This window comes from Homo sapiens (genome assembly GCF_000001405.40).
Source record: "Homo sapiens chromosome 15 unlocalized genomic scaffold, GRCh38.p14 Primary Assembly HSCHR15_RANDOM_CTG1".
NCBI classification, from domain to species: domain Eukaryota; kingdom Metazoa; phylum Chordata; class Mammalia; order Primates; family Hominidae; genus Homo; species Homo sapiens.
In genome coordinates this window covers 155,797-167,701 of record NT_187382.1, presented here as the reverse complement: position 1 = coordinate 167,701, position 11,905 = coordinate 155,797, and the positions used below count along the sequence as shown (strand labels likewise).

Genomic DNA, 11,905 nt, shown 5'->3' with positions numbered 1-11,905 from the left:
GCATAACGTCTGAGGCGCGCGCCCCGCACGCGCGCCCCGCACGCGCATAACGGCTTGGCTTACCTGTAACGGGTACGCTTCGCTTGGCGTTCCTCCCTTGGCCTTGCGTTCCTAGCTTGGCTTGGCTGTTAGTAGCTTTGCCTGGTGTTTCTTGCTTGGATTGGCGTTTCCTCCCTCGCATTCCTTTGCTGGACTTGACCTTTTCTCTGCTGGGTTTGGCATTCCCTTGACTGGGCTGGGTGTTTCCTTGGGAGGGGGGGCTTGGCCTTTCCTGGGGTGGGCGTGGGGTCCCCCTGGTGGGCGTGGGCTTTCCCCGGGTGGGTGTGGGTTTTCCCTGGGTGGGGTGGGCTGGGCTCCCTTGCTGGGCTTGGCAAGTTTTGGCTGGGATTGACCTTTCTCTTCAAACAGATTGGAAACCCAGGGTTTCCTGCTAGTTGGTGAAACTGGTTGGTAGACGCGATCTGTTCGCTACTACCGGCCTCCCCTGGCTGTTAAAAGCAGATGGTGGCTGAGGTTTGTTCAATGCCCGCTGCCTCTGCTGTGAAGAAGCCATTTGATCTCAGAAGCAAGATGGGCAAGTGGTGCCACCACCGCTTCCCCTGCTGCAGGGGGAGCGGCAAGAGCAACATGGGCACTTCTGGAGACCACGACGACTCCTTTATGAAGACGCTCAGGAGCAAGATGGGCAAGTGTTGCCATCACTGCTTCCCCTGCTGCAGGGGGAGCGGCACGAGCAATGTGGGCACTTCTGGAGACCATGACAACTCCTTTATGAAGACACTCAGGAGCAAGATGGGCAAGTGGTGCTGTCACTGCTTCCCCTGCTGCAGGGGGAGCGGCAAGAGCAACGTGGGCACTTGGGGAGACTACGACGACAGCGCCTTCATGGAGCCGAGGTACCACGTCCGTCGAGAAGATCTGGACAAGCTCCACAGAGCTGCCTGGTGGGGTAAAGTCCCCAGAAAGGATCTCATCGTCATGCTCAGGGACACTGACATGAACAAGAGGGACAAGCAAAAGAGGTAACCGGGCCTGGGATGGGAAGAGGCGGGACATGGGGGGATGATGGGGACATACCCTCCTGGCACAGGGAGGGAGGAGCCAGGCTTTCTCTTCCTCCGCAGGCCCCACACCACCCTGGGTGTGGAAACCTCAGAGATGTCAGGGCCCAGGTCCCTTTATAAACAGCAACACAAAAACAAAACTTTAGCTGATTTCCAATCCAATTATAATTTCCCTTATAGAACACTAATAGACGGTTTTAAAGTGATTTAACTCGCAAAATTAAGTCGATGCAGCAGATTATTTTTAATGTACACATTTTAAAACAATGTTCTATACACTATAGAAAGGTGTATATTGAGAACTAAGTCCCATAATATATCAACTTCTGGGCTAAATATTTTTCAAATAAAATCCAATATGGATTTTATATCGATGTGTACCCTATGTAAACACGTTCTTTACTGAGTAACCTTAAAAGGAAACTGAAATGGGAAGTATGGTTCATATCTTTGAATAGGAAGGTTCGTTTTTCTTAAGATGTGAGCTTTTTCTGTGTTTATCACTTTTACATAAGCCAAATAAAAATAGCAAAGTCTTAGTGTCTTTAAATTGCACATGATGTATTTTATCATTGTGATAAATTGATTTTTTGTAACAGAATGGAAAAAGACTTGCTTTTCCAGATATCAAAATGTGCGTGTGTTATTTCCACAAATTGTTTACTAACAGCTGAAAAGACATAAGTGAACAGAACAGAATAGGAAATCCAGAAATACCCAAATATATGTAAGAATTTAGCACTTGATAATGGTGATGTTTCATATTGGTAAAACAAGGTGAATTATTCATAAATTAAATGCATGCTGTTTGGAGAAAACTACCTAGATTTTTATGTCACAAAAATAAGTTCCTGGAGTATAGATTAAAAATTTTAAAGATACAAAAGGAGAAAAGTACCAGAAGAAAACACAAATGCCTATTTATATGTGCAAATATTTATTTATTTTTCTGAGACAGACTCTCACTCCATAGCCCAGGCTGGAGTGCAGTGGTGCAATATCAGCTCACTACAACCTCTGGTTCCTGGTTCAAGTAATTCTTTGCCTCAGCCTACCAAGTAGCTGGGATTACAGGCACCCACCACCATGCCTGGCTAATTTTTTGTGTTCTTAATCAAGACGGGATTTCACCATCTTTGCCAGGCTGGTCTTGAACTCCTGTCCTTGTGATCCACCCACCTCAGCCTCCCAAAGTGCTGAGATTACAGTCATGAGCCACTGAAACCGGCATATATATGCAGATATAATAAAATAAGCTCAATTTAAAATTGGGCAAGGTACTTTTTTGCATGTCTACCAGTGACCTGTGTACATAGGAAAACATAGCATTCCTGCTAAGAGAAGGAATTTAAGTTAGAAGAGGAATGAAAGACTATTTTCTGTTTAAGTTAGAAGAGGAATGAAAGGCCAGCCATGGTGGCTCATGCCTGTAATCCCAGCACTTTGGGAGGCCAAGGCAGGTGGATCACGAGGTCAGGAGTTTGATACTAGCCTGGCCAGCATGGTGAAACCCGTTTCTACTAAAAATACAAAGAATTAGCTGGGCATGGTGGCATGCACCTGTAATCCTAGCTACTCAGGAGGCTGAGGCAGGAGAATTGCTTGAACCAGGGAGACGGAGGTTGCAGTGAGCTGAGATTGCACCACTACACTCCAGCCTGGGTGATGGAGTGAGACTCCATCTCAAAAAAATAAATAAATAAATATAAAGGAATGAAATACTGTTTTGTGTCCACAAAGTTTGTGAGGGTGAAGAACAGTGGTACTTATATACCTGCTGAAAGTTTAAGTTGCTGCGGCTTTTCAAATAGACACTTTGATGGTAAGAACCACATTTTTAAAATGTGTATGCCTTTTACCCATCTGTTCCATTATACTGAAATATCTATATGAAACAGACACAGCTGTTTTTCTTAGTATTGCTTAAAATAGCCATGTATTTAGAAGAACTCATATAAAGATTTTATGAACAAATTTCAGTGCATCCATAGGATGGAATAATATGTAACCATTGAGGGTGTCAGTAGATACAGAGATATGTCGGCATGCAGAGATGTACTTTGCTGTATCAAGTGAGAAAAAATCAGTTTGTTATACATATACACAAATAGAATCTGCTCTTGTGTTAGCTGGAAATATGTGGAAAATATAATCAAACTTATTTCTGGGGATTTGTAAGTGAAGTTTTTCCCTTTCTCTTATCTGTGATTTCTGCAATGAACATCTGCAAAGTTTTAGTTAAGTTTCATTAGTAATGAAATAATCCTTGGGAAGAGAAGGAATATGCTACTTGCATAGATACAAATAATTTCTTACATTCTATTATTTATTTTTATACCTGTGGATGGCTATCTTCTGTGAACTTTTACCCTCTTCAGAAGTAGAGGGCTTCTGTTTACCTCTTCTGGTAGATTTTATTGTGTATACATCTTATTATATATAGATTGATGTGTAAATAGTATGGATTAATTATTTTAGTTTAGTTATATATTTATGAAAACTAAAATAGCAAATATAAATGATCGTTACTATCGCAAATGTATTGCTCTACTCAACAGGAGTTTTCTTTAAAAAATATTGAACTTCCAACCTATGTTTATCCATTCTTTCAATCCGTTTAGTCATCAAACATAAGCCAGACACCTATTATATGGCAGGCATATTCTGCTATCTCTCAGGATCCTTCCACCTTTGAAAACTTCATGTTTACCTGCTGCACCTGAGCAAGCTGAGAGAATCAAAATTGGGGCATTAGGACTTAATCTCAATTGAAGCTTTTCCTCCCTCCTTTCAAACAAAAGCACTTCTGAAGGTGGAAAATAGTAAAAGATAACCCTTAACTGCCCTTTTGAAAATGTATAAGACTTGGGTAAACACTGTTTTAGCTGTTTTAAGAACTTAAATGTGGTACATAAACAGCATGGAATACTATGTAGCCATAAAAGAAAGAACAAGAGCCTGTCCTTTGCAGGGACATGGATGGTGTTGAAGGCCATTATCCTTAGCAAACTAACATAGGAAGAGAAAACCAAATACTGCATGGTCTCACTTATAGGTGGGAGCTAAATGAGGAGAACACACAGACACCTAGAGGGAAGCAACACACACTGGGGCCTATCAGAGGGTGGAGGGTGGGAGGAAGGAAAGAAGCAGGAAATAGAACTAATGGGTACTAGGCTTAACACCTGAGTAATGAAATAATCTGTACAGCCAACCCTCTTGGAACACGTTTACCTATGTTAACCAACCTGCACATCCTGCACCTGTATCCCCGAATGTAAAAGTTGAAAAAAGCTCCACAAATAGTTTCATAAATCCATTTTAAAAAGAGAAAATTTATAACAGTCTTAAATCCTAATATGAATGATTGGAAATATCTGATGTACATACGTTGTATAAATCTAAGTATTGAAAAAAATGAGCCCATGCTATTCATTTGAATTTCAAGATTTCTTTGGCTTAAAGTTTTTGAAAACCAAAGTAAGAAATAGATTATTTTAGAAAATTGTTTTTGTTTTCACCTCAGCCCTCTTATTCCATAGTTCTTTTAAGAACTAAAATTTATCTAAATGCTAGTCATCTGACTGGAACTGCCCCAGACCTGTTATATTATAACATATTCTACTTAATGTAAGGCACCAGGGATTGTATGATGCCCCATTATTTTATGTCTCACTAAGAAAATTATTTAAATGCTGCCAATTATAATTATAGTAAATCATGAATTAATAAGTGGTATTTCAGTGTAAGAAATGTTAAAACATGGAGACAATGATCATCTTAGACTCAATAAAATACAGTACAACGCTACCTGTAATCTTTAAAATGTACCTGAAAGTGTAGGTATAATTGTATCGTTTCACTTAATTCAAATGTTGTCTTTAGTGGTATTAGTAAAAATTATAATATCTTACAAGTTTTGAGCTGTTATTTGTGTTAGGAACTATTCTATATTTTGTGTAGAGTCTTATTTAAGCATTACAGTGGTTTCCTCTGAGAAACTGACTATTTTCATTCCCATTTTATTGATGAGGAAATTGAGACACAAAAAGGCTAAGCAACAGCTAGGAAGCGACAGAGCTTCAAGTAGGATTCCAGCCCAAGTTGAATGTCATCCAAGAGCTATGCTCTTTCTATTCAAATAGGCTGCTCTTTCATTAATACAGTGACTAATGAGAGGTAATAAGTAGTGTGCTTTCTTCAAAGGAAAATTGAGTTTGTTTTGAAGGCAGAGTAATAGGCTATTCAGTGTTTGCAACTACATGAATCATTAATGTGGCATTAGCTAGTGCACTACAATTTCCTGAAGTCTTCTCACTCTCATAGGACTGCTCTACATTTGGCCTCTGCCAATGGAAATTCAGAAGTAGTACAACTCCTGCTGGACAGACGATGTCAACTTAACGTCCTTGACAACAAAAAAAGGACAGCTCTGATAAAGGTATGCAGTAGTCAACTATATCAGCGTGAGATGGGTTTGATTTCAATAGATAGCATAAAAATGAGTTTTCTCATTTAAATATAACTAGTTGGTGAAAGCTGTGGAATGTTATTTTGAATTCCTAGGACTTATAATTTGTTTTTGGTCTAATACTGACAGGCCGTACAATGCCAGGAAGATGAATGTGTGTTAATGTTGCTGGAACATGGCGCTGATGGAAATATTCAAGATGAGTATGGAAATACCGCTCTACACTATGCTATCTACAATGAAGATAAATTAATGGCCAAAGCACTGCTCTTATATGGTGCTGATATTGAATCAAAAAACAAGGTATAGATCTACCAATTTTATCTTCAAAATACTGAAATGCATTCGTGTTAACATTGACCTGTGTAAGGGCCAGTTTTCCGTATTTGGAAGCTCAAGCATAACCTGAATGAAAATATTTTGAAATGACTTAATTATCTAAGACTTTATTTTAAATATTGTTACTTTTAAAGAAGCATTAGAGGGTACAGTTTTTTTCAGTGCACTTGTGGTTAATGCTTTTTAAAAAAAAAACACTGAATTTGTAAAAGGTAATACTTTTTTTTTTTCAATTTTTCCCTGTCAAGTTTTTTTTCCCCTAACAAATGTAAAATGACAAAATTTGCCCTGGAAATAGGTTTTACATTAAAACTCCAAGAAAACTTAAACATGTTTCAGTGAATAGTAATCCTGCTACTTTGGCAAATTCCTAAAAAAACACTAATAGATATGAGGTGATGTATCTCTCAGTGGCAAGGCTTAAGATATTTCTGATTGCTCATGAGGCAGAATTGGAAAGGGAAAAATGCAGCAATCAGAAATACCAAGGCCAACTTGGAAATTAGGTAATGGGGGAAAAGACCATGAAGAGGTTTTTTTTTGTTTTTGTTTTTGTTTGTGTGTGTGTGTGTGTGTGTGTGTGTGTTGTTATTGTTGTTCATTCATTTGTTTCCTTTATATGGTGAGACAGGGTTCTTTTCCATTTTAGAGAATGACAGTTTTCAGTTTGGGAGAGGGAGTTAGTGGGTTGTAAACTGCCTAGAGATCAATTTTAGGAGGCCTCTGAGGAACCAGACTGGCAGTGAATATGTGGTAATGTAGTGGGAAACCCTTGAGTAGAAGGAATAACAAGTAATTAACCAACTTAGTATACTATTCTGGTAGAAATGGCCAATTAGAGTCTCAACTCTGCTTTCAATTCTAGAATGTCTTGATGGGAAGGTGGGAGATAAGGGGCTTATAAGTAAAAAGATCAGGTTGGATTTTGAGTTTACTAGACCTTGTTCTACTCTTACCGGGGAAAATTTTGTGGTGTTTTCAGCAAATGAGTCTCTCTCCTACTCTTTCCTCTTTTTGGCCAAATCCTCAAATGATAAAGGGAATTGTTTATGTGATGAGAGATGAGACTGAAATAATTGTCTATTGCACTAGCTTCCAGCTAGAGTTGTGCATTCCAGTTACCTCAGGAAAATTTTTAAATAATCTTCAAGTCTAGGTTTTCCCCTGAAGATTTTGATAGAGTAAGTCTAATAAAGCCTGGATATGTATGTTTAAAAATGTTTCCTTGAAGCCAGGCATGGTGGTGCATGGCTGTAGTCCCAGCTGCTAGGGAGGCTGAGGTGGGAGGATTGCCTGAGCTTAGGAGTTCTAGTCTAGCCTGGTCAACATAATGAGACCCTGTCTCTAACAACAACAACAACAAATTTCTCAAAATCCGGATACACTCCTGCTTAACCACTGAATACATAAGTGTAATATGTAAATTCTTATATCTCAGAAACTTCAGATATTTCTAGAAGAGTTGGAGTTGGATATGTGCTAATTCCTTTAAATCTTTCCTTTCCAATAACATTAATCTAAATTTTTGTTTGTTTGTTTTTGAGATGGGGTCTCACTCTGTTCCCCAGGCTGGAGTGCAGTGGTGCGGTCACAGATCACCACAGCCTTGACGTCCCTAAGCTCTGGTGGTCCTCCAATCTGTTTTTGTATTTTTTTTTTTTTTTAGTAGAGATGAGGTTTTTGCCATGTTTCTCAGGCTGATCTTGAACTCCTGGGCTCAAGTGAATCACCCACCTCAGGCTCCCAAAATGCTAAGATTACAGGTGTGAGCCACCATTCCTGGCCTAGTCTGACTTATCTCTGTCGTTGGGACATTAAAATAAATATTATTGGCACTATCTATCAGCTTACAGAATAATACCTTTTCCTTTCTACCATCAGTTATTCACTGCCATTCAGAAGGTCTTTAGAAATTTGCAGTGAGTAGTCTTCCAATAAGTAGAGGATGGCTCTCTCAGGACTTTGTGTCCCTTTGTTCAATCATTCAAGTGCTTAGGTCAGTAAGTCGTTTTTAAGAGCAGAGTTTTCTCAGAATTGTAGCAAATTCTAAACCTTTTTTGTCAATTGAAGCTATATTGTGGGCTATCCAGTATGTCTCTTAAGTTTGTAGAGCTTTGGCTTAATCAGGATGGCAGGTTTAAACACTCAAAACCATGGAGTTATTAAGAATACAGATAGGAAATCTCTTAGTTTCAGTAATCCTATGAACTGATTATCTATCTAGTTAACAATCTGGAAAAATTAAATACAAATAGATTTTAAATGAATAAATGTTGGAAAAAATTCTTGAAATGGGCAGTGTGAGTATTAATAGCAATATTTATTGCATGTTGGAGCTTGAACTTTGGTAAAACATGTGAAACTAAAGAAATATTTTACATTCAAATTCTTGCTTTATACACAACAATTTTGTCTTAGGATTGGATAATAATAGAGATAAAAGATACAGCCCCTGCCCTCAAGAAGCTTTTTGTTTAAATGAAAAAAAAATCATCCAAAAGTGCCATGCCAAATGCTCATTTAGAAACAAAGAGTCTTGGAAACAGTAAATGTTTAAAGTGAGTTTTTGAGATGATCAGATTTAATGTGGTGAGGCAGAGAAGGGATGTTTCCAAGGGAAGGAGTGGCACGTGGGAAAGTACAGAAGAGTGAGAAGGAAGCGACCAAATTTTATTTACTTTCTGTGAGTGTAAGTCCATAAGCTTCCAGTTCAGTTGAGAGATACATAATTTTTTGAATTACATATTGTTTTTGTTTTATATTGTTTTACAGTGTGGCCTCACACCACTTTTGCTTGGCGTACATGAACAAAAACAGGAAGTGGTGAAATTTTTAATCAAGAAAAAAGCTAATTTAAATGCACTTGATAGATATGGAAGGTATGGTTATTTCTTTTAATCTGTGTGTTGTTCTAGATTGATAGCAGTCACTCAAGTCATAAATAATAAATTAATAAGATCAAATTATACTTATTGGGACATAGTGATCAGTATCAACACAAATCAGTTAAGTAGAAAAGCAATTATTTGGACTGGGCAACATAAAGAACTGTTTTAGTAGGATTCATCTTCTCTTATTATATTGACTGATGTTATTTGTTGTATGATGTTTTTGGTTACATGATCTTATGTTAGCTAAAGGGATTTCATATTAATTTTATGAAGTTTGAACTTTAACTTTCAGTTTACTTTATGACTCAGTATTGAACTTTTTAACCCTTTCTAGTAGGTTTTAACCTCTGTATCTTATATGCTTTTCCACTAAATATGCTGTATTAAACATAAATAGGAGTTGAAAATCCTTTTGTCTTTTCAATGACTCTGCTTTAAGTTGCTTTCTTTGAAGAATATTAATGTTAGCTTATCCCTACATGACAATTAATTGCTATTCCCACATACTGTGGGTTCAACAGCTTTTTTCCTTTTTTATTTCCAGTGTATTTTGATGTTTTTATTTTTAGTTGGTATGGAGAGAGGGAGTGAAGATAGTTTTAAGTGGATACACTTTTCCTTTAATGAAGGCAAGCTGTAGGTGGGTGATAAAGAGAAAAGAGCTACGCTTTGGATTCACACAAGACTGGGTTTAATTCCTAACTTTCTTACTTGCTACGTGTGTGACATTGGGAACGTGATTTACCACCCAATATGTTGTCATATGTGAAAAGTAGGAGAATATATCCTTCAAAGTTGGCTGTGCATAAGCAAGAAAGATACGTGTGGCATTTAATTCAGTGCGTAGCACATGCTTATTGGCATCATTAACTGAAACTCCTGTGACTACTATTCTTACCATTATTATTAATATTACTGCTTTCAGCATGCAGAGAGCTCTTATTTATCTTAGCCCCTAGCTAATTTTCTATTACAGCATATCAGTCTAGGGAAGCTGTGACAAAATCTTCACTTAAATCTTTGTCCACTTCAGATAAGTGGCCCTAGCATTGTTTCTTGCCCATCAAAGGACTTTAAATTAGTAGCTTCTGCTATGCAATACCCCACTGAGATAAGAGGTTTCCTTTTTGTCCCTTCCTTTTAACCTTGGTGGTATTTTACAAAGATGAACTCTTGAGCACCCAAGATGCTTATGTCTTTTAGCGCATGTAAATGTTTGATTCTGCATGGACAGGCAAGATGTCAAATTGGTAAAGTATATCAAATTAGCTTTTAAAATAACTTTATTACAGTTCCTAAAGGAGAAATTATCTCTGTAATTTTAGAACTGCCCTCATACTTGCTGTATGTTGTGGATCAGCAAGTATAGTCAATCTTCTACTTGAGCAAAATGTTGATGTATCTTCTCAAGATCTATCTGGACAGACGGCCAGAGAGTATGCTGTTTCTAGTCATCATCATGTGTAAGTGTTTACATGAAAAGGCTAGTTAATGCTAAATTGAGGTTTAAAATAATTATAACAATTGCATCTTACATATCAGGTGAGATGTCATAGTTTGGTTCAGGTAGTTTTAGAGTGGCAGTGAGTTAGTCCCCTGCATCAGCCAGAAATCAGACAAAAAGCAAGACAAGTTAGAAGTACCAATGGGTGCAGGATTCTTTACCTCAGGACTTTTAAGACCTTTATCCTTAGAGATCCCAATATTGTTCATTTCATCCAAGTATAACACCTATGCATGGCATAAAAAAGAGTATCACATCTTTGATTTTTCTGATTAGTTATTTGGGTCTTGAAATGTCCAGTTTAGCAGAAAGCCTTGTACTGTCTTCTGGGGACTGTCTCCTACATACTCCTTGAATTTTTCAAGAACCAAAGGGGTTCACTAAATCCAAGGAAGACAGTCCCTTTTATCAAGTCAGAAGGAGGAGAGAAAAAAGGACATTCCAATCATTCTGTTGTTTCCATTGTTTCTGTTGCTGCATTGTTGCCACTCAAACTGCTTCTGCTGCCTGGTAATTGTTGACCTTTGACACCAAGGTGCCCTTACTGATTCAGATCCCTCAAGTCTTCATGGGGATTCACACAGTGACTTTGAAGTTACAACATTTTTTAGTTCCCTTACCTATGCTTATATGCTCAGCCATTGTTCCCAAAGCACCAGCACCCTGCTCTGGCCGCTGGGCATCCTGACTTTATCCGCACACAAAGTGAGCAAATTGACCCTTCCTCCTGTATTCAGAACCTAATGTGGAACCCACATCTTAGCTAAGAATTAGCTGAGACCTTCATGGTAAGAGATCCTTTCAGGCCGTTGTTGGTCTTTTCTCTAGCAGATATGAGGTGGGCTTGTTATAAAGGGTCAGAGGGGTTCAAATAATGTGGCAGAAAGAGATCAGTGTTTGTTTCTTCTTCTTTGCTACCAGATCTACACTGTGAGGCACCTTTATATCCTGTGTAGAACCTTAGGCAGTAGAAAGTCCCATATGAGCCTTCCCCAAGCAGTGGCTCCCAGCTGTGGTTGGCCCCTTGAGTGATCTGATTTACATGATAATGAAAATCGTCCAAGCTACTTCCATCTCTAGCTCAAGATTTTAAAATATTTTCAAATTGTACCTCACAGGAAGCCATTGAAGAGAATTCTCAGAATCTCAAGTGGGTTAAGTAAGTAGTGATGAGTCATGGACAAGAGCCAAGCCTTGCCCATGACTCATCACAAATCATGTGTAAAAGTAGGGCTTTGTGCCTGCTTTGGCGGCACATATCCTAAAATTGGAACAATACAGAGAAAGTTAGCACGGCTTCTGCATAAGGAGGCAGCACAACTCTTTGAAGCATTCCATATTTTGTGCAGTCACTGGAAGATCATTTCACTATTTGCTGACTAGCTCTAAGGAAACAGTGTGAATCAAAGCAAAATGGGTGCCACCAAAATATCGAAATGTGATTTGTGCTGCAAAAATAGTCATGGAAGATGGTCTGTGAGATGATTTAGAGCTCAATAATGTGTTCAGTGCAAAATATATTATAAGTATGTACGTCAAAAATTAGAGAATGTCAATTTGCAACTTCTTCATGAAAACTGAAAAAAAATAAAAGTAGAGTTTTGGTCTCCCATGTCAGCTGGAATTGAACATCAAC

The 11,905-nt window shown here is 38.3% G+C and overlaps 1 protein-coding gene and 1 non-coding gene across 5 annotated transcripts in view; both read left to right on the top strand.

Moving 5' to 3' along the window:
• The first annotated feature begins 354 nt into the window (after positions 1–354).
• LOC102723502 (POTE ankyrin domain family member B-like) overlaps positions 355–11,905 on the top strand; it is a 34,751-nt gene continuing 23,200 nt past the window's right edge. For all 4 annotated transcript variants that reach the window (NM_001395469.1, XM_006724901.3, XM_011546200.2 and 1 more), the window contains exons 1-5: positions 355–1,022; positions 5,391–5,505; positions 5,665–5,838; positions 8,647–8,753; positions 10,091–10,228. In NM_001395469.1, coding sequence (NP_001382398.1) covers positions 502–1,022; positions 5,391–5,505; positions 5,665–5,838; positions 8,647–8,753; positions 10,091–10,228 — 1,055 coding nt within the window. In that variant the 5' untranslated portion in view covers positions 355–501. The remainder of the gene's footprint in view (positions 1,023–5,390; positions 5,506–5,664; positions 5,839–8,646; positions 8,754–10,090; positions 10,229–11,905) is intronic.
• LOC124905327 (U6 spliceosomal RNA) lies at positions 11,507–11,613 on the top strand. The gene has a single exon (XR_007068542.1). It is a non-coding gene; the product is annotated as a U6 spliceosomal RNA (small nuclear RNA).